The 23698-nt window shown below is 37.8% G+C and overlaps 1 protein-coding gene across 5 annotated transcripts in view, besides 1 other annotated feature; it reads left to right on the forward strand.

Annotated features, from left to right (window-relative positions):
* The window catches only part of LRRC49 (leucine rich repeat containing 49), a 200281-nt gene that overhangs the window by 155439 nt on the left and 21144 nt on the right, over positions 1-23698 (forward strand). For all 5 annotated transcript variants that reach the window (NM_001284357.2, NM_001199017.3, NM_001363732.2 and 2 more), the window contains 2 exons: positions 991-1176; positions 3988-4097. In NM_001284357.2, coding sequence (NP_001271286.1) covers positions 991-1176; positions 3988-4097 — 296 coding nt within the window. The remainder of the gene's footprint in view (positions 1-990; positions 1177-3987; positions 4098-23698) is intronic.
* Positions 14445-15043: an enhancer, noted in NCBI's record as "H3K27ac-H3K4me1 hESC enhancer chr15:71315600-71316198 (GRCh37/hg19 assembly coordinates)". NCBI's record gives its function as "activates a minimal SCP1, AML or CMV promoter by ChIP-STARR-seq in primed H9 embryonic stem cells {active_cell/tissue: H9 hESC(primed)}" and the evidence as "EXISTENCE:reporter gene assay evidence [ECO:0000049][PMID:30033119]".

Genomic DNA, 23698 nt, shown 5'->3' on the forward strand with positions numbered 1-23698 from the left:
ATCTCAAAAAAAATGATCCTTTGTGGAGTAGAAAAAGACTGATATAATTTTATTCAAGTTATATATTTCTACTTTATAAGTGATTCACCTTACCACATAGCCTTATGTATTCACCTATGGTACCTGGTAATGGTGAAATGTATATTTACTGTATAATTTTTACAGTTGTCCCCTAACAATGTTGAAAATAATTTTAATAGCTCATTAAAATTACTTTGAGAAATTAGCCTTCCTCAATTATGGTGTCATTGTATTATTTAGTATGCATTTGTAGAAACTGTGATTTCTGTAATGAGTTCTCTCTTGAGTTTCTATTATTGTTGTGTTTTTCTCTGTCAGCCAAGAGACTTCCCTCACCTGCCTTTTTGGTGGGTTTTTGTTTTTATTTTCACTTCATTCTCCCTAAAAAAGATAGTTAGAGGTGAAGACAGTATGTTTAGAAAAGAGCATCTAGATTCACAGACAGAATGCTTGCGTTAACATTGCAGTTTTAGTGATTTGATTTTTCTATAGCCAGTATAACTATCCTACGTAGTGTTTGGCAAGATACAAGTAATAATAACTAACTAGTTCTTCTCAGGAAAATTGTGGGGGCCTGTATTTATAAAGTTCTGAAATTTTCATTTCCAGTCTTTTTAAAAAAATTTATTTAATGTCAATGTAAAGCATATAAAATCAATAATTCCTGAAAGAATCTGCATTATTTGATATTTATGTATCTTTAAAGAATGTTGGTTTATAAGTGAGACTGTCATTTGTAGAAGGAGTCACCCAGAATTCAATATTGGATGGATTCCATCAATGGTGCATTGGATGAATTAAAGTTATGTAAGTTTAGTACATTCAGTTGATTTAATGTAATTGAAAACATATTTGCTAAGCCTAAAGTTTACATATTTACCTGGGGAATGATTAGTGAAGCTTTAATGTTAATATTTCAATATGGTTAAAATCAATGTTCTGATCTGTATTTGTGTTTTATCATTGCAGCACCTTAAATTCAAGGAAACAAATCTTGTAATGCTGCAGCAATTTAACGCACTAGCCCAACTCCGTCGTATTGACCAGTTGACAATTGATCCTCAAGGAAATCCAGTTGTCAATTTTACACTCTGGAAATACTATGTACTGTTTAGGCTAAGCCATTTCAGTATGCAGAAAATAAATGGAACAGAGGTAAGCTAAAAACTAGATGAACTATAGAATAAAAATATTCCTTCTTAGTGAAAATAGTTACTTTAAATGTTTAGGAATTTAAGTAACCATGATAGAACATTTGAGATATAATGGTTTTTTTTAAATTGACATTTAAAATGTCAAAAGGCTAAGAATCTATTTTAAAACTTCCAAAGAACTAAATAAATTGTAAAAATAAAATAGTAACCAGGTTATAGTAAATGGCAAATACTTATACTGTTGTTTGTAAGCATTCAGTGAAATAAAATGGTGGGGTGACAGTTAAAAATAAAAATAAAAAATAACTCTTTTATAAGTAATGTGATCTTTGTATTTCTCAAAGTACTTTGCAGACTGCCTGCTATGCAAGAGGGGATAAGGAAGTAAAACCTAAATGTCAACTAATAAGGGTATTGTGGTAGAGAAAGGGAAGAATAAAATGGAAAAAAAAGGGGAGGAAGAAGATGACTTACAAAAAGAAGAGATGAAAAGGAGAAATAAGCCAGGAAGAAAGATAAAATAAGAGAAAGTGAAAATAAGAGAAAAAGAAAATAAAATAAGTATAAGTAAATGTCTGGAAAGCTTTGTTAATAGCTGGTAGCAACCACTGTGCCATGACTACATTGGGTAACTCAGGTCTGGAGCTGAATAGCTGGAAAATTATTAGTGAAAAGTTATTTTTAGATTGATTCTGCTAAGCTTGTCACAAGGTAATCCCCCAGCTACTCAAAAGCCATGTTCTTTTAAAATATTAATTTGGAAGGAAAGAGAGAAGCTATGCTTCCACCTCTACTAAATTTAAACACTCCTCCAGAGGAAAAAAAAAACATCTTTAATATGTTGTTAGTCTTATTACAATATCTCTTGAAATTCAGAAGACCTCTTTATTGTAAGATTAACTGTAATCAACTTTCTGGCACAGTAACTGTGTTTCCCTGCAGCTGATACAGTACAGGTAGATACTTAACTCCAAAAATTCAGCATACTATGAGGAGACTGTACATCTCTGGATCAATGTACAAGCAGCTATATGAAATTTGCATCAACCATGGTATTTCTGTAACCTCAGAATCAGCCATCTGCTGAAGATGTTGGGTAAATCTGAATCTTCAGATGACTTTTAATTTCTCCAGCTAGTTCTCAAGAGGGTTGGCTCAGTCTTGTGTACTCATGTATACTATTTGGTACTTCCCCCGAGGTGAGGTTGTGAGTCCCTGGAAGGACCTAATAATTAGTCCTAAAGGTTTTCAAAGTTAGCCCAGACTGGAAATAGAATGGTTATTTTTACTGTGGGTGACTGAGTCTCCCTTAATTGAGGTAACACACCGTTACCTCAGTTAACCCTAAATGGTGTATTTACCCAGATATGGATTATTACTAGAATAATACCCATTATTATCAAACTTTGAATCAGGAAGGAATAGTGTAGTTATATAAAGTGGAGAAGAATTAGAAAGAATTAGAAAGAACCAATATAATTTATTCTGATTTAAATTTCTGAAAATCTCAATGCCAGGGATATTTGACACTTTATTAAAATACCTAAAATATATTCCTGTTTGTTAGGTCCTTGACCTTAGATAGTAATGTTACACTGCATTTTTACTTCTCTGTGTATAAAAAAGAATGATATTGCTTGAGGTAGAATTAAATTGAATTAATAGCATCAAGAAAACATGGAGTAGTGGCCTGCATTGGCCACTAGGTGACTATATTGGACCAAACACTACTTAGTTATTAGCTAAGGAAGAATTTGAAGTCTCCTTAACTGTGAAGATCCAGGGAAGGGAAGAGAGTTAGCCTGCACTGATTCATAGGTATGTTTGTGAATTATTGGTTTGTTTTAAAGAAAATGCCTGTGAAGAGTATTACAGATAGTGTCAGGAACAAATTTTCAAAAGATCCAAAATTTAATTATACCAGGGTTTCTAAACCTTGGCTCTGTTGACATTTTGAGCCAGATAATTCTTTGTTGTGGGGGCTGTCCTCTGCATTGTGACATGTTTAACAGCAACCCTGGTCTCTACCCACTAGATGCCCGTAATGTCCAGAAATAACTAAACATGTCTCCAGACATTGCCAGTTGTTCTGTAGGGGGCAAAATGGCTCTTGGCTGGGATCATTGAATTATATATAGACAAAAAAACAGTATTTAAAATGTAAGCAACCCTATTTTATATTAAAGAAAATATCCCCAGATAGTAATACAGGTACTGCTTTCAGCTTTTAGTACTTTCTTGGTTAATGTAAGAATGGGTCCTCATAGGGTATACTTGTGACAAGTTATTCTTTTTGGGGAGAAAGACTGATAGAATGAACAGGAGCATCCTTGCTAATTCAGTGAAAGTTCCATCTCTCAGGAAGGGACAAAATTATCCCTATAGGAGCAAGGTATGACCAACACCTTGGCTTACCTTTGACACATTATTAAAATGAATCTATCCCATTGATACTTGGGAATTTTTTCCTCTAAATCATTCTAATCCAAGAAGCTATAGGATTTCTGAAAAAAAAAAATACTAAAAATTGAAGGTACCTCAAGTGTAATTCTCAGGAAAGACAGCTTCTAAATCAGAGCTGACTCATCACCTCCAATCAGCTTCCATCATCATGAACCACAATTATACGTCTTCATTTTAACTCAAGAAAGAAAAATATCAATGAAAACTCTTCTTTCCACAGCACAGGAGAATGTGCTTTTGTGGGCTTAAAAGATAATATTTAATTTGGATCTCTCTTTGGGATTATATCAGTTTTATTCAGCTAAGAGTTGGTGTCATTTTTTTACCCCTTTCTATTGTGTCTCTTCAGGTGACACAGAATGATATGATAATGGCTGAAAGGCTCTTTGGAATCCTAGCACATGTAGCATCTTCTGAGTTACCCCAGTATCGTCTGATTTCCATTCTGGGTGATGCCAGGTAACCTTTAATTTTTGTAGTTTTTTATAGAATTACTGTTACACTAGAAAAAGAAATAAATTCCACATACCTCCTAACTATGCTAATTATGTGTTCCATAAACATGTATCCTAGACTGGCCTATTGAAAGTGTTGGGGATCTTAAGATAAATAAGATGAAGTCCTTATTCTCGTATGGCTTATAGTCTAATAAGTTAAAGATATACACATACAATTAAAACGTAATGTTTCAGGTGCTATAAGGGAGGGCTGTAGGAGGGACTAACCATATTTTGGAATAACACTGGGGAAGGCTTCACAAAGGAGAAAACATTTTATCTAGTTCTTTGGGAATGAGTAGGAGTTTTCAGGTAGAGGATATGGGGAAAAGATATCTGCAAAAGCACAAGTAATTGTAAATAGCTCAGTATAATTGGAACATGGGATGATTATGAATAAATGATAGGAAATGAAGCTAGAAAGACTGATTGTGGTCTGACTTTGAAGAGCTTTCCAATCCATGCCAAGCAAAAATGAAAACTTGTGTTTTGTAATGAAGCACAAGCAATCATATAATTGGATTTACATTGTAGAAAGGCTGCCATTTGAGCAGGCAGAGCTTGAAGTAATGAAGACCAATCAAATGGTTACTCTGTAGGCCAGGAGAGATTATGAGGGCCTGAGCCAGGGCAGCAAGATGGAGAAGAGGAAACCTGACAGAACACACTAACTGACGAGGTGGAGCATGGATGAAGAAATAGTCAAGGATGGTTGACCAGTCATGATTCAGTTACAGATCATACAAGTCACTCTGGTTAGAGTAAGCAAGGAATTAGATATCTACAAAATATTTGAAAGCGTTGAGGAAGCAGTTTCTAGACTGAGCCTCCAGAGATATCTCCCAGAATTATACCATAGAACAAGCCCACAAAGGAAACTGCCTCCTTGCTATGGTCATGGAGCACTTTGCTACAGTCAAGGACAACAGGAGACTGTTGTCCCAGCTGTGAGCACCAGGATCATACCGCTTTAGCTGCGCTGAGGATCAGGAAGTTCCCTACTCTGCTCCCCAGAATCTGGCTCCAGAACCATGTTACCCTACTATAATTTACACTAACAAAGTGAGTCTTTTGCATGCTACTCCTACTTCCCCACTTAGCCCAGTTCTGAATTCAAATCTTACCCAAGTGTATCGGATTGATGGAATATAAATCCCATCTAAAACCCACAAAACCATTCTGAAAAAAAAGGAGGCATTGAATTCAAGAAACAATGATGTAGAAAGAAATCGGTAAAAATTATAGTTGTCTGAATAAGTATTAATGTATAATGTTAAAAAGATTAAATAACCTACAAGGAAAAATCCAAGAAAATCCTAAGAGAATGTAAGTTAAAGTTTACTTTCTTTCCCTGTTTAGGTGAGATAATAGGTACTAATTAACAATAAAAATTGATGGAAAAATACACGTTTGTGTGTATTAAAATATTAAGGGTTTTCATAGAAAAAGATTAGATGGATAATTTCTAAACTACTAAAAGGAAAAAAGTGATCAACGAAAAGCAGGAAGGAAAAAAAAGCATTTGGGTTATCACCATAAATATTAATAAAGTCTTCTATTAATAGATGCTCTCAGATTGAATTAAAAACATGTTTTTCAGAGATACCCCTAAAAAACCCCTAAAGGCTTAAAAGAAAGGGATGGGAAATATATAATGAACTAAATGCCAACAACAAACAGATACAGGAATATTAGTGGTTAATAATGATAGACTTGATGACACTAAAAACTACAATCCACCAGAAAATAGTTATGAAACAGTGTAACTAAGACTACAGCTTTTAAACATATCAACAAATACAGGCATATATTGACAAATTTTTCAGTTATTATAATAGTCATTAATATGCTTCTTTCATAAATCAGATCAAATCAACTAACATAAGAAAGACTATAGAGGATTTGCATAACATAGTTAACACATTTTATCAAATAAATATACTTAAAATCTTGTGTTGACAACCTTATTCCCAATTCAGAAAAAAACATATATTTTATTCAAACATCTATGGAATGTTTGTAAAAGTTGAACATCTATTAAACTGAAAGTAAATCTTCAAGTATCTCAAAAAGCATACTCATACAGATCACATTTTCTAATCATAATATTATAAAATTAGAAAATAATGGGTCAGGATAGCCAAAAACTTATCTAGTTGGAATTGGGATGGGTAGTGGGGTAGACAGTGGACACAAGCTTCCAGAAAACAAAATACAAATGCCTTTAAACTTTAAGAAGAGGATGTTTGGTCAAAGTTATAGACAACCAAATTTTAAAATAATGAGATAACTTTGTGGGAAAAGACTAGAAGTTTGATGATATGCAGCGGCAGTCCTCAACCTTTTTGGCACCAGGGACTGGTTTCGTGACAGACAATTTTGCCATGGACGGTTGGGGCTAGGGGATGGTTTTGGAATGAAACTGTTCCACCACAGGCATTAGATTCTCATAAGGAGTGGGCAACCAAGATCCCTGGCATGTGCAGTTCACAATAGGGTTTGCGTTCCTATGAGAATCTAACGCCACTGCTGATCTGACAGGAGGCGGAGCTCAGCGGTAATGCTTGCCCGCAGTTCACCACCTGCTATGTGGCCCGGTTCCTAACAGCCATGGACAGGCCTGAATAGCACAGTTATTTCACCATGCTATATATCGGGGTCTCCAAGCCCCAGGCTGTGGACTAGGGCTCGGGAACCCCTGATATACAGCATAGCAAAATAGAGTTCTTACATACTTTTGGTGGTAATGAAAGTTACTGTAATACTTGTTCATAGTAACTTAGCAATATCTAATAAATTGTAAATGCACATACCTTTACACTTAGCAATTTCACTTAAAGGAATTTGTTCTACAGATAATTTTCTTTACATGAGCACAAATATCTATGTGCAAGGATTTTCCTTGCAGCCAGTGTTTATATTAGCAAAAATATGAAAACTCACTAAATGTCCATCAATAGAGCGAGACGAATTACTTGCAGCTCTAAAAATAATTGGATGTTCTTATATGAAACGGTTAAGGTGTTTCAGAAAATAAAAATATAAGGTACAGAACAATTGTATAGTATGCTGCAATTTGTGAGAAATGGGGCATATGTGTCAAAGATACTCTTGTGCAATTTAAAAATATTTGATTTTTTCAATATGCTTGCCTCTAAGTGTTGAACTGGAGGGAGACACTAGGATTCCAAAGTACATAGATACTTTTTACTCTATGTTTCTATGAACCTCTTGAATTATCTTCTTGCTTTTTGTTCTATCTTGTTTTTTTATTTTTTATCCTTTTTAAAAAAGCATTTAAAAATACTTTAATGCTTCTGAATTAAAGAGGAAATAAAGCTAAAATAATAAATCATATATAAATGAATTTGATAATAAGAATACTATATGTCAAAACCTCTGGGATGTGACCAAAGCTGTGCTGACAGGAAATTATACATCTTTAATGTACTTATTAGAAAACAAGAAAGATTAGAAAGTAATGAATGAAGCTTTTACTTCAGGAACCTAGAGAAATACCAAAGTAAGGCAAAATTTTAAAAAATGGAAAAAAGAAGTTCATAAAGATAATAGCAGCTTCTAAAGAAATAAGAATTTGAAAGAGAATAGTTGACCAATAAAAGCAAACACTGACGCTCCAGAAAATCCAAGAATTCAACTATTACACTTTTGGAATTAATTGGAATATATAACAATGAGGCCAGATACTAGATTAACATATCAAAATAATTAATATTTCTTCATACCAATAATAAGCTGTTGAAAATAGTATTAGAAAAAGTACCCCATTTATAGAGGCAAAGAAACTATGAAATATCAGAAAATACACCTTATAAAAAGTAACTCTGACATACACAATAAAATTGGGAACAGGCCTGGCATGGTGGCTCACGCCTGTAGTCCCAGCACTTTGGGAGGCTGAGGCAGGTGGATCACTTGAGCCCAGGAGTTTGAGACCAGCCTGGGCAACATGGCAAGACTCCATCTCTACAAAAAATACAAAGACTAACCAGGCATGTGGCTCGCACCTGTGGTCCCAGCTACTTGTTGGGCTTGAGGCAGGAGGGAGAATCACTTGAGCCTGGGAGGCTGAGGCTGCAGTGAGCCATGATCTACACCACTGTACTCTGATCTGGGTGACAGAGCAAGACCCTGTCTCTAAATAAATAAATAAATAAAAATACAATTAGGAACAAAAAGGAAGCTTAAAAATGAATATTTACAATGTTAACAAATTCCAAGACTTAATATTGTAAAGATGCCAATTTATCCTAATTAAATTACAAATTTACTTAATTCCCAATCACAAATCCCAATATGATTTCTCAGGACCCTAAAACAAGATACATTTTATATCTTAGAAAGGCATTTATCATCTCATGTTAATGAAAATGTTCTACTATACTTTCTCATACTTCCTGAAGGTTTGTAACATGTAGCTCACAAACATTTTTACAGTTTTATATGATGAAATACATCATAAAGTGAAAATACATAAGCAGACAGGAGAATATATTTGCAGCATGTTTAACAGAATTTTTAAGAAATCCTACAAATTTAGTAAGAAAAAAGACAGTTGAGATAATAGAAAAAAAAAGGCAAAGCATATAAAGAGAAAACTCACAAGAAGAAATATGAATAGCCAGAAAATGTAAGCCCAACTCACTTCTCATCAGAGAAATACAACTTAAATTAAAATAATGCGATGTCATTTTTGCCAATGAGATTGACTTAAAAATTTAAAAACCAATAATATCAATGACTTATTAGTATTCAGGACAATGTACACTGTACATGTTGGTAGAAGTGTAACATGACTTTTGGTGGAAGGTAGTTTCACAATGTCTATCAAAATTTAAAGCATACATATATTTGAACCCAGTAGTTTTAGTACTAGGAATATATTCTAATGAAATACACATATGCACAAGTTATTTATGTAGTAAGCTGCCATGCTTTATTGTTTGTAGTTACTTAACTTTGGAAAGTAACCAAATGCCAAATAATTGGTAAAACTAAGTATATCATAGTACTTCCACATTTATAGATGTAGAATCTATATGATACTGTTTATATTACAGTAGATAATATGACTGTAAAAGGAGGAGGAGGAGGGGGAGAAAGATTGAGGTAAATCTCCTGTTCTAACATGAAATGATCCAGAGACAGTTCATTGAATGAAATATGGCATAAAACTATTTATATTATGACCCAATGTTATTTAAAAACAACATAATAAATATGTAGACATTAAAAATATGGAAACACAGAAAGGGAACTGACAGGATGAACACCTGGGAGGATATAGATATGAGGAGTAAGGTAGAGTAGTTGAAGAGTGCTTTTCAGGTTTTATTCTATGTCTGTACGGTTTGAAAAGAGTAGTTTTTGAGTTTTAATCTGTATAAGATTAGGAATATATTGAACTTCTATTTCTGACAATGATGAGTTTGGTTGTTTTTACCATTTCTTGAGTTAAAAACAATACAAAATGCTAGACAAAATAAAAACCTTCATTAAAGTTTTGGGGAGCTGGTAAGGTATAACATAATTACTAGGCCAGGATCTATGGGAAAATGAGAACATTGAGAATTAAGGTAGACACAAAGCTCTTAGAACCGAACTTACTTTTCCTGCTCTTACACACCATTCAACACAGATATGTGAGGGGGTTTTCCCTACACACTAGCCAGGCAATTCAGCAGCAGACACCAGCTGGGTGCCCTCTAATTCAATTTAATTCTGACACTGCCTACCTGGAGATAGTGTCAGATCCTACAGGTTGAAAGATCATTCCCACAAGACGGCTCCTCCCCACCAAACCCAGCCTCCCTACATCACATGCCAGTTGCAAGCACTAGTTGTGACCTGTGCTTCTGACTGACCAGCTAAGAATTGAGATTCTGACAACCCCCTTCTTGGGGGGTTCTATTAATTTGCTTAGAGTGGCTCACAGAACACAAGGAAACACTTTAATTACATTTACCCGTTTATTATAAAAGATATTACAAAGGATACAGATGAACAGCCAGATAGAAAAAATGCAAAGGGCAAGGTATGTGGGAAGGGGCACAGAGCTTCCATGCCCTCTCCAGGCATACCACCCTTCAGGAACCTCCACATGTTCATCTATCCAGAAGTTCTCTGAATCTTGTCCTTTTGGGTTTTTGTGGAGACATCATTATGTAGGCATGATAAATGAAATCATTGGCTATTGGTAATCAAGTCAGTTTTCAGCTCCTCTCCCCTCCCCAGAGGTTGGGGATGGGGCTGGAGGTCCCACCCCTCTAATTATGCCTTGGTCTTTCCAGTGACCAGCCCCCATCCTGAAGCTATCTGGCTCACACACCCCAGTTACCAGCCATCTCATTAGCATAAAAAACATTCTCGTTACTCTTGCAATTCCAAGGGTTTTAGGAACTTTTTGCCAGGAAATGGGAATGGAGAGAATACAGGGATGGACAAAGACCAAATGTATATTTTATCATATCACAGAGACTGTTTGATCCAGAGGCATTTCAAGGAAACATAAATTTTTGTTCTGCTAGTCTAGAACAGTAGAAATGATGGAAATCAAAGCCCAGGGCTCCATCTAAAATGGTAAATGTGAATTGACGTCTTCCTAAGGGTTAAAATGAAACCCCAGTGGCTATACCATCAGGTCAGAAATAAACCTACCTCTTCTCCCCACTCAGGAATTTCCAAGGAAGGTTGCCTTGATATGAGCAGAAAAGAGGAAAGTTGTCCCTAAGCAAATGTAAACAAAAAGCAGTCCTCATATAGATGTGCAGCCTGAATTCATAACACATAACTAGTTTAAAATAATATAAAGATTTAAATATCACTGTCTCTAAATATCTGGAAAAAGCAAATATACCTCCTCTCTGGAAGAAGTTACTTTCATCTTGTCTCAAAGAATCCTCATGGCTAATTTTTAAGGGCAATTACCAGCATACAATGAAAAAATAAATAACCAGTCACACAAGAAAATAAGACATCATGTAAAAGAACTGGAAGGAAAAAATAGATTACAGAAACAGACCCATGAATACTTTAAATATTGGTATTATCATGCATAGACTATAAAACGACTGTGCCTGCTATATCTCATGATATACAAGATAAGCATGAAAATATCTGAAGAGAATAAGAAATTGCAAAAAGTGATCCAGAAGACCTGAAAGGAAACCAAAAGAAATTATATAAATGAAATATGTAATACACAAAGTTAAAATTTAATGAGGAGGCTTAACAGCTGACTAGACACAGTTGAAAAGAGATCCATAAACTGAGAAACAGACTAGAAGAGATTTTCTGGAATGTAGTACAAAAAGAAAAGAAGATAGAGTATATGAGAAAGTGGCTAAGAAATTTGGAGGATAAAGTGAGTTGGGAGGTTTAACATCTGACTGAAGTTTCTAAAAGACACAATGGAGAGCATAGGGTAGAGTCAGTATTAAAACAGATAATGGCAAAAATTGTTCAGAACTGATGAAATACACAAACTACATATTAAATAAGCCCAGCTAATCGCAAAAAGGATAAATGAAATCTACACCTAGTCACATCACAGTGAAACTACAGAACTCTAAATATAAGGTGAAAAAATTTAAAAACAACCAGGAAAAGAGAAGTTACCTTCAAAAGAGTGGAGATCAACAAATTGATTTCATAACAGCAGCGGTGGAAGCCAGAAGATAGGATAATGAATGATATGTTCAATGTACTGAAGGAAATTACCAACCTAGAATTCTATGCACAGCAAATATGTCTTTTAAGAATGAAGGTGAAATAAAGACATTTGAAACAAAATAATAAAAACAAAATCTAAGAGAATTCCCATTAGTATTCTTACACTAAAAGAAATTATAAAGCTTATAATTAAGGCAGGACAGTGACCCCAGTTAGAAGGTCTGAGATGCAAGAAAAGCTAAAGAACAAGGAAAGTACTAACTATGTTGGATAAGGCTAAATGAACATTGACCATATAAATTAGGAGTATCCAATCTTTTGGTTTCCTTGGGCCACATTGGAAGAAGAATTGCCTTGGGCTACACGTAAAATACACTAACACTAATGATAGCTGATGAGCTAGAAAAAAATCACAAAAAAAAAATCTCATGTTTTAAGAAAGTTTACAAATTTATGTTGGGCCACGTTCAAAGCCATCCTGGATCCCATGTAGTGGCCCGTCAGCCACAGGTTGGACAAGTTTGATATAGATCAACAGTAACAACATTTTGTGGGGTTTAAAAATATAAAATTAAAATACACTGCAACAGAAGCATATGTAGTCGGAAGGAGTAAATGGAGATATTGTATTCTAGGACCTCGTATTATCTGGGATGGAGATAAATATAGTGACTAACTTTAGATATTAGTGGGTTAATGTTGTTCATGTTGTAATTTCTATGGTAACCAAATAATAAGCAAATATATAGCTTCCAAATTAGTAAGGTAAGGCAAAGAGAAAACGAAAAATAGAACATGTGGATTAAACAGAAAGAAATGAAAATGGTAGATTTAAACATAAATAGTGGTATATCAGCATGTATGTTCCTGTCACTTTGCCAGTACTGTGTGACAAACACCCCAAATCTTAGTGGCTTAAAACAGGAAGCATATATTTTTTTCTTTGAGACTATAGGTCAGCTAGGTGGATCTTATGCCTTCAGCTGGGGTCCTCATGTGTCAGTAGTCACCTGTGGATTGGATAGGCGGCTCTGCTGATCAAACCTTGGCTCTCTCACTTGTTTGAGGGTTGGCTGGCTGTAACCTGGTCTAGGAAGGCCTTAGCTGGGACAACCTGTCTCTGCTCCACATGGTCTCTCATACTCCAGAAATCTGCCTGGGCTTGTTCTCATGGCAGAGGCAGGGTTCAAAGAAAAAGCAGAAACATGCAAGGCCTCTTGAGTCCTATGCTAAGAACTGACATACCATCATTTCACCCACAAACTTTTGGTCAAATCAGATAACAGAGCAACACTTAAGGGGCCTGAGAGTAGGCCTTACGTAATTGTAAAATCACATTTTAAAGGACGTGGATGCAAGGAAGCCATAATACAACCATCAATGTAATGAATCCACCTCAATGATAAAATGCAAATATATTAATTGTTCTGATTAAAATGCAAAGATTAGCCAGGCCTGGTGGCTCATGCCTATAATCCCAGCACTTTGGGAGGCTGAGACAGGCAGATCACCTGAGGTCAGGAGTTCAAGACCAGCCTGTTCAACATTGTGAAACCCTGTCTCTACTAAAAATACAAAAATTAGCTGGGTGTGGTGGAACGTGCCTGTAATCCCAGCTACTCAGGAGGCTGAGGCATGAGAATCACTTGAACCCAGGAGGCAGAGGTTGCAGTGAGTTGAGATTGTGCAACTGCACCCCAGCCTGGGTGACAGAGCGAGACCCTGTCTCCAAAAAAAACCAAAAAAATAAAATGCAAAGATTGTCAGACTGAATAAAAAAATGAAGTTCAACTATATGTTGTTTACAAGAGATACATCTGACATATGTTTACATAAATATTGAAAGTAAAAAAGTGAGAAAAGATAAACAACATAAATACTTACCGAAATAAAAATGGAGTAGCTATTGAGGACTCAATAGACTTGAAAGTTGAAAGTAATACTAGAAATAAAAAGGATCATTTCAAAATGATAATAGGTTCAGTTCACTAGAAAAATATAGGACATTTAAATTTGTATGCACTTATTAGCATAACCTTAAAAATGTATAACCCCAAAATTGACAGAACTACAAATCCACAATTACAATTAGTGGAAAGTTTTAACACATCTCTGAGTAATTAATAGAAAAAGGATATAAAATGCTTGAATAATGTGATAAATTTGACCTAATTACCACTTAGAGAACATTGCCCCCAGCAACTGCACATTCTTGTCAAGCATACATGGAACATTTATAAAAATTGACCAAATACTGTTCATAAAGCAAATGTCAAGAGATTGCAAAGAATTGAAATCACATGGAGCATGTTTTCTATTCAAAATGTGGTCAATCTTTAACCTGATTACAAAATGATAACCAGGAAATTCCCATATATTTGAATTAAGAAACACATTTCTAAATAACCCACAGGTTAAAGATAATTTCATAATAGAAATCTGAAACTACCTTGAACTGAAATATAATAAAAATACCCATTTCAAAACTTGTGGGATCAAGTTAAAGTGGTGCTAAATGGAAACAGCCTTGCAATGGGTATAGTGGGAAAGAATAAAAGCTGAAAGTGAATGCGCTAAAACACTTATCTCACCAAGATAGCAAAAGAGCAGCAAAATAATCCAGAAGAAAGTTAAAGAAAAGAAATGATGTTCAAAGAGTATTAATGTAAAGCTGATTATGTGAAAAGACTAATAAAAGTGATAACAAATGTGTACAGACATTGCTTCTGTAATTTTAAAAAAATCAGTAAAGATAATAAATGGAAATAGGGGCCAAGATGGCCAACTAGTAGTAGCTGTGGTTGGAGACTCCCACTGAGAAGAACAAAAATGGTGAGTGAATCCTGCACCAGCAACTGAGGTATCCAGGCCCTCTTATTGAGACTGACTTGGGCAGTTGGCACAACCCATGGAGAGAGAGGAAAAACAGGGTGGTGCGATGGCCCACCTGAGAGCCACACAGGGCAAGGGGAGCTCCCACCCCCAGCCAAGGGAGGCATTGAGTGATTGTGCTACCCTGCCTGGGAAACCACAATTTTTCCATGGATCTGTGCAACCCACAGATCAGGAGATCCCCCTTATGAGCCCATGCCACCAGGGCCTTGGATCTCAAGCACAGAGCTGTGCAGATTCTCAGTGACCACTCGGCTGGAGACTGCCTAAGACTACTGAGTTCCTCGGGGGAGAGGCAGTCACCATCACTGAGGCTGCCTGCTGCCTAAGACAACTGAACTCCTTGAGGGAGGGACAGAGGCCATCACTGCAGCTGCCTGCTGCCTAAGACGACTGAGCTTCCCAGGGGAGGGGCAGATGCCATCACTGCATCTGACTGCTGCCTAAGACCACTGAGCTCCCAGAGACAGGAATGGCAGCCATCACTGCAGTAACCCATCCCTGCTTACTAGGTAGGGCCTCCCTGCAGGAATTTCAGCAACTCCAGCCAGGGGTTTAGGGACAGACCTCTGATCTCCCTGGGACTGAGCCCCTGAGGGGCAGCCACAGTCTCCACAGATCAGCCGATTTAGTCTTTCTCCTGCTGGCTCTGAGGTATCTGGGTAGTCCAGACAAGTGGGATTCCTCCCAGTGCAGTGCACCCCTTCCACTAAGGGACAGCCAGAGTGCTTCATTAAGCGGGTGCTGGATCCCATGCCTCCTGACTGGGTGAGACTCCCCTCAACAAGGGTTGCCAGACACCTTATACTGGAGCATTCCCACTGGCATCAGATTGGTGCCCTTCTAGGACAGAGACCCCGGAGGAAGGAGCAGGCAGTCATCTTTACTGTTTTGCAGCCTCCACTGATGACACCTCCAAGTGCAGGAGGGACCCAGTTGAATAGTGTCTGGAGTGGACCCCCCACAAACCACAGTAGCCCTACAGAAGAGGGGCTGACTGTTGAAGGAAAGCAACAACAACAACAACAGCATAAACAAAAAAGTCCCCATAAGAACCCCATCCAAAGGTCAGCAGCCTCAAAGATCGAAGATAAATTAACTCACGAAGATGAGAAAGAATCAATGAAAAAAAAAAACATTGAAAACTCAAAAAGCTAGAATGCCTCTCCTCCTCCAAATGATCACAACACCTCTCCAGCAAGGACACAGAACTGGGTGAAGGCTGATTTGGATGAATTGACAAAATAGTGCAAAGAAGCCAAGAACCATGCTAAAAGATTACAGGAGCTGTTAACCAGAATAACCAGTTTAGAGAGGAACATAGCGACCTGATGGAACTGAAAAACACAAGAACTTCACAATGCAACCACAAGTATCAATAACTGAATATACCAAGCAGAGTAAAGAATTTCAGAGCTTGAAGACTGTCTTGCTGAAATAAGAAGGCAGACAAGATTAGAGGAAAAAGAATGAAAAGGAATGAACAAAATCTCTGAGAACTATGGGATTATGTAAAAAGACAAAACCTACAGCTGACTGGGGAACCTGAAAGAGACAGGGAGAATGGAACCAAGCTGGAAAACATACTTCAAGATATCATCCAGGAGAACTTCCCGTACCTAACAAGACAGGCTAACATTCATATTCAGGAAATCCAGAGAACCCCAGTAAGATACTCCATGAGAAGATCAACCCCAAGACACACAATTATCAGATTCTCCAAGATTGAAATGAAGGAAAAAATGTTAAGGGCAGCCAGAGAGAAAAGCCAGTCACCTACAAAGGGAAGCCTATCAGGCTAACAGTGGACCTCTCAGCAGAAAGCCTACAAGCCAGAAGAGATTGGAGGAAAAGCCATTACCAGCCACTGCAAAAACACACTGAAGTACAAAGACCAATGACACTATGAAGCAACTACATCAACAAGTCTGCAAAATAACCAGCTAGCATCATGATGACAGGATCAAATTCACACAAAACAATATTAACCTTAAATGGGCTAAATGCCCCAATTAAAAGACACAGAATGGCAAGCTGGATAAAAAGTCAAGACCCATCGGTGTGCTGTATTCAAGAGACCCATCTCATGTGCAAAGACACACAAAATAAAATAAAATGAAATAATAAAATAAAACAAAGGGATGGAGGAAAATTTACCAAGCAAATAGAAAGAAAAAAAAAAACAGGGGTTGCAATCCTAGTTTCTGACAAAACGGACTTTAAACCAACACAGATCAAAAAAGACAGAGAAGGGCATTACATAATAGTAAATGGATCAAGGAGAGCTAACTATCCTAAGTATATATGCACCCAATACAGGAGCACCCAGATTCATGAAACAACTTCTTAGAGACCTACAAAGAGACTTAGACTCCCACACAATAATAGTGAGAGACTTTAACACCCCACTGTCAACATTAGATCATTGAGACAGAAAATTAACAAGGATTTTCAGAACTTGAACTCAGCTCTGGATCAAGTGGACCTTATAGATATCTACAGGTATTTCTCCTAATGTTATTCCCTCCCTTAGCCCCCCACCCCCTGACAGGCCCTGTTGTGTGATGTTCCCCTCCCTGTGTCCATGTGTTCTTATTTTTCAACTCCCACCTATGAGTGAGAACATGCAGTGTTTGGTTTTCTGCTCCTCTGTTGGTTTGCTGAGAATAATGACTTCCAGCTTCATCCATGTCCCTGCAAAGGACATGAACTCATTCTTTTTTATGGCTGCGTAGTATTCCATGGTGTATATGTGCCACATTTTTTTATTCAGTCTATCACTGATGGGCATTTGGGTTGGTTCCAAGTCTTTGCTATTATAAATAGTGCTGCAATAAACATACATGTGCATGTGTCTTCGTAGTAGAATGATTTATAATCTTTTGGGTATATACCCAGTAATAGGATTGCTGGGTCAAATGGTATTTCTGGTTCTAGATCCTTGAGGAATCACCACACAGTCTTCCACGATGGTTGAACTAATTTACACTCCCACCAACAGTGTAAAAGAACTTCACCCCAGCCTGGGTGACAGAGCAAGACCCTATTTCTCCACAGCTTCGCCAGCATCTGTTGTTTGTTGACTTTTTAATAATCGCCATTCTAACTGACATATTATCTCATTGTGGTTTTGATTTGCATTTCTCTAATAACCAGTGATGATGAGCTTTTTTTCATGTGTTTGTTGGCCACATAAATGTCTTCTTTTGAGAAGTGTCTTTTCATATCCTTCACCCACTTTTTGATGGGGTTGTTTGTTTTTTTCTTGTAAATTTGCTTTAAGTTCCTTGTAGATTCTGGATATTAGACCTTTGTCAGATGGGTCGCTTGCAAAAATTTTCTCCCATTCTGTAGGTTGCCTGTTCACTCTGATGATAGTTTCTTTTGCTGTGCAGAAGCTCTATAGTTTGATTATATCCCATTTGTCAATTTTGGCTTTTGTTGCCATTGCTTTTCATGTTTTAGTCATGAAGTCTTTGCCCATGACTATGTCCTGAATGGTATTGCCTAGGTTTTCTTCTAGGGGTTTTGTGGTTTTAGGTTTTACATTTAAGTCTTTAATCCATCTTGAGATACTTTTTGTAAAAGGTGTAAGGAAGGGGTCCAGTTTCAGTTTTCTGCATATGGCTAGCCAGTTTTCCCAGCACCATTTATTAAATAGGGAATCCTTTCCCCATTGCTTGTTTTTGTCAGATTTGTTGAAGATCAGATGGTTGTAGATGTGTGGTGTAATTTCTGAGGTCTCTGTTCTGTTCCATTGGTCTATATGTCTGTTTTGGTACCAGTACCATGTTGTTTTGGTTACTGTAGCCTTGTAGCCTAGTTTGAAGTCAGGTAGCGTGATGCCTCCAGCTTTGTTCTTTTTGCTTAGGATTGCCTTGCCTATATGGGCTCTTTTTTGGTTCCATATGAAATTTAAAGTACTTTTATCTAATTCTACAAGGAAACTCACTGGTAGCTTGATGGGAATAGCATTGAATCTATAAATTACTTTGGGCAGTATGGCCATTTTCATGATATTGATTCCTTCTATCCATGAGCATGGAATATTTTTCCATTTGTTTGTGTCCTCTCTTATTTCCTATTTGATTATTTGTAGTTCTCCTTGAAGAGGTCCTTCACATCCCTTGTAAGTTGTATTCCTAGGTATTTTATTCTCTTTGTAGCAATTGTGAATGGTAGTTCACTCATGATTTGGCTCTGTGCTTGTCTGTTGTTGGTGTATAGGAATGCCTGTGATTTTTGCACATTGATTTTGTATCCTGAGACTTTGCTGAAAAGTTGCTTATCAGCTTAAGGAGTTTTTGGGCTGAGACAATGGGGTTTTCTAAATATACAGTCATGTCGTCTGCAAACAGAAACAATTTGATTTCCTCTCTTCCTATTTGAATACACTTTATTTCTTTCTCTTGCCTGATTGTCCTGGCCAGAACTTCCAATACTATGTTGAATAGCAGTGGTGAGAGAGGGCATCCTTGTCTCGTTACAGTTATCAAAGGGAATGCTTCCAGCTTTTGCCCATTCAGTATAATACTGGCTATGGGTTTGTCATAAATAGCTCTTATTATTTTGAGATATGTTCCATCAATAACCAATTTATTGAGAGTTTTTGGCATGAAGCGATGTTTAATTTTATCGAAGGCCTTTTCTGCATCTGTTGAGATAATCATATGGTTTTTGTCATTGGTTTTGTTTATGTGATGGATTACGTTTATTGATTTGTGTATGTTGAACCAGCCTTGTATCCCAGGGATAAAGCCAACTTGATCATGCTGGATAAGCTTCTTGATGTCCTGCTGGATTCAGTTGGCCAGTATTATATTGAGGATTTTTGTATCAATGTTCATCATTGATATTGGCCTGAAATTTTCTTTTTTTGTTGTGTCTCTGCCAGGTTTCAGTATCAGGATGATGCTGGCTTCATAAAATGAGTTAGGGAGGAGTCCTTCTTTTTCTGTTGTTTGGAATAGTTTCAGAAGGAATGCTACCGGCTCCTCTTTGTACCTCTGGTAGAATTCAGCTGTGAATCCATCTGGATCTGGGCTTTTTTGGTTGGCACACTATTAATTACTGCCTCAATTTCAGAAGTTGTTATTGGTGTATTCAGAGATTCGACTTCTTCCTGGTTTAGTCTTGGGAGGGTGTATGTGTCCAGGAATTTATCAGTTTCTTCTAAGTTTTCTAGTTTATTGGCATAGAGATGTTTATAGTATTCTCTGATGGTAGTTTGTATTTCTGTGGGATCAGTGGTGAACTCCCCTTTATCATTTTTTATTGTGTCTATTTGATTCCTCTCTCTTTTCTTCTTTATTAGTCTGGCTAGCAGTCCGTCTACTTTGTTAATCTTTTCAAAAAACCAGCTCCTGGATTCACTGATTTTTTTGAAGGGTTTTTCATGTCTCTATCTCCTTCATTTCTGCTCTGATATTTGTTATTTCTTGTCTTCTGCTAGTTTTAGAATTTCTTTGCTCTTGTTTCTCTAGTTCTTTTAATTGTAACGTTAGGGTGTCGATTTTATATCTTTCCAGCTTTCTGTTTTGGGGCATTTAGTGCTATAAATTTCCCTCTTAACACTGCTTTAGCTGTGTCCCAGAGATTCTGGTATGTGTCTATTTGTTCTCATTGGTTTTAAAGAACTTCTTTATTGCTGCCTTAATTTCATTATTTACCGAGTAGTCATTCAGGAGCAGATTGTTCAATTTCCATGTAGTTGTGTACTATTTTCCCAGTAGTCATTCAGGAGCAGAGTGTTCAATTTCCATGTAGTCCCATGCAGATTGTTCAATTTCCATGTAGTTTGGAGTGAGTTTCTTAATCCTGAGTTCTAATTTGATTGCACTGTGGTGTGAGAGACTGTTATGGTTTCTCTTCTTTTGCATTTGCTGAGGAGTGTTTTGCTTCCAGTTATGTGGTCAATTTTAGAATTCATGCTATGTGGTGCTGAGAAGAATGTATATTCTGTTGATTTGGGGTGGAGAGTTCTGTGGATGTCTATTAGGTTCGCTTGGTCCAGAGCTGAGTTCAAATCCTGAATATCCTTGTTAATTTTGTGTCTTGTTGATCTGTCTAATATTGACAGTGGGCTGTTAAAGTCTCCCACTGTTACTGTGTGGGAGTCTAAGTCCCTTTGTAGGTCTCTAAGAAGTTGTTTTATGAATCTGGGTGCTCCCGTATTAGACGCATATATATTTAGGATAGTTAGCTCTTCTTGTTGCATTGATCCCTTTACCATTATGTAATGCCCTTCTCTGTCTTTTTTGACCTGTGTTGATTTAAAGTCTGTTTTATCACAGACTAAGATTGCAACCCTTGCTTTTTTTGCTTTCCATTTGCTTGGTAAATATTTCTCCATCCCTTTATTTTGAGCCTATGTGTGTCTCTGCATGTGAGATGGGTCTCCTGAATACAGCACACCGATGGGTCTTAACCCTTTATCTGATTTGCTAGTCTGATTATTTTAATTGGGGCATTTAGCCCATTTACATTTAAGGTTAATATTATTATGTGTGAATTTGATTCTCTCATCATGATACTAGCTGGTTATTTTGTACATTAGTTGATGCAGTTTCTACATAGTATCTTTGGTCTTTATATTTTGGTATGTTTTTGCAGTGGCTGGTACCAATTTTTCCTTTCCATATTTAGTGCTTTCTTTAGGAGCTCTTGTAAGGCAGGCCTGGTGGTGACAAAATCCCTTAGCATTTGCTTGTCTGTAATTTTATTTCTCCTTCACTTATGAAGCTTAGTTTGGCTGGATATGAAATTCTGGGTTGAAAATTCTTTTCTTTAAGAATGTTGAATATAGGCCACCACTCTCTTCTGGCTTTCAGGGTTTCTGCAGAGAGATCCACTGTTAGTCTGACGGGCTTCCCTTTGTGGGTAACCTGAGCTTTCTCTCTGGCTGCCCTTAACATTTTTTCCTTTGTTTCAACCTTGGAGAATCTGGGGATTATGTGTCTTGGGGTTGCTCTTCTTGAGGAGTATCTTAGTGGTGTTCTCTGTATTTCCTGAATTTGAATGTTGGCCTGTCTTGCTAGGTTGGGGAAGTTCTCCTGGATAATATTCTGAAGTGTGTTTTCCAACTTGGTTCCATTCACTCCTTCACTTTCAGGTACACCAATCAATCGTAGGTTTGGTCTTTTCATATAGTCACATATTTCTTGGAGGCTTTGTTCATTCCTTTTCATTCTTTTTTCTCTAATCTTGTCTTCATGCCTTATTTCAGTAAGTTGATCTTCAATCTCTGATATCCTTTCTTCTGCTTGAAAGATTCAGCTATTGATACTTATATATGCTTCATGAAGTTCTCGTGCTGTGTTTTTCAGCTCCATCAGGTCATTTATGTTCCTTTCTAAACTGGTTATTCTAGTTAGCAATTCCTGTAACCTTTTATCAAGAACATTGGGTTAGACCATGCTCCTTTAGCTCAAAAGAGTTTGTTATTACCCATCTTCTGAAGCCTACTTCTGTCAAATTGTCAATCTCATTCTCTGTCCAGATTTGTGCCATTGCTGGGGAGGAGTTGCAATCATTTGGAGAAGGGGCATTCTGGTTTTGGGAATTTTCAGCATTTTTGAGCTGGTTTTTCCTCATCTTTGTGGATTTATCTACCTTTGATCTTTGAGGCTAATGACCTTTGGATGGGGTTTTTGTGTGGGGATCCTTTATGTTGATGTTGCTTTCTGTTTGTTAGTTTTTCTTCTAACAGTCAGGCCCCTTTTTTGCAGGTCTGCTGCAGTTTGCTGGAGGTCCACTCCAGTCCCTGTTCACCTGGGTATCACCAGTGGAGGCTGCAGAACAGCAAAGATTGCTGCCTGCTCCTTCCTCTGGAAGCTTCGTCCCAGAGGGGCATTGGCCTGATGCCAGCCAGCACTCTTCTGTATGAGGTGTCTGTTGGCCCCTGTTGGGAGGTTTCTCCCATTCAGGAGGCACGGGGGTCAGGGATCCACTTGAGGAGGCAGTCTGTCCCTTAGCAGAGCTCGTGCACTGTGCTGGGAGAATCCCTCTTGTCAGGATCAGCTGCTGTCTTCAGAGCTGGCAGGCAGGAACGATTAAATCCACTGAAGCTGTGCCCATAGCCACCCCTTCCCCAGGTGCTCTGTCCCAGGAAGATGGGGATTTTGTCTGTAAGCCCCTGAATGGGGCTGTTACCTTTCCTTCAGAGATGCCCTGCCCAGTAAGGAGGAATCTAGAGAAGCAGTCTGGCCAGAGTCACTTTGCCATGCCCAGCCCAGACCTCCCAGCCTCCTTAGCACTGTCAGGGGAAAACTGCCTACTAAAACCTCAGTAATGGTGGACACCCCTCCCCCCACCAAGCTCGATCATCCCGGGTCAACTTCAGCCTACTGTGCTGGCAGTGAGAATTTCAAGCCGGTGGTTCTTAGCTTGCTGGACTCTGTGGGAGTGGGACCCACTGAGTGAGACCACTTGGCTTCCTGGCTTCAGACCGCTTTCCAGGGGAGTGAACGGTTCTGTCTCACTGGGGTTCCAGGCGCCACTGGGGTATGAAAAAATACTCCTAAAGCTAGTTCAATGTCTTCCCAAACAGCTGCCCAGTTTTGTGCTTGAAACTCAGGACCCTGGTGATGTAGGCACATGAGGGAATCTCCTGATCAGCAGATTGCAAATTAATGGGAAAAGTGTAGTAACCCAGCGGGGTAGCACAGTCCCTCACGGCTTCCCTTGGCTTGGGGAGGGAGATCCCTGGCTCCTTGCACTTCCCAGGTGAAGTGATGCCCCACCCTGCTTCTGCTCACCCTCTGTGGGTTGGACCCATTGCCTAACCAGTCCCAATGAGATGAACTGGGTACCTCAGTTGGAAATGCAGAAATCACCCGCCTTCTGTGTTGGTCTCGCTGGGAGCTGCAGACTGGAGCTGTTCCTATTCTGCCCTCTTGGTTCCTTCTATTCTGTACTATTTCTTCCAAAACTATTCCAAACAATTGAAAAGGAGGGACTTCTCCCTATCTCATTTTATGA

This window comes from Homo sapiens, chromosome 15 (genome assembly GCF_000001405.40).
Source record: "Homo sapiens chromosome 15, GRCh38.p14 Primary Assembly".
Lineage (NCBI taxonomy): Eukaryota > Metazoa > Chordata > Mammalia > Primates > Hominidae > Homo > Homo sapiens.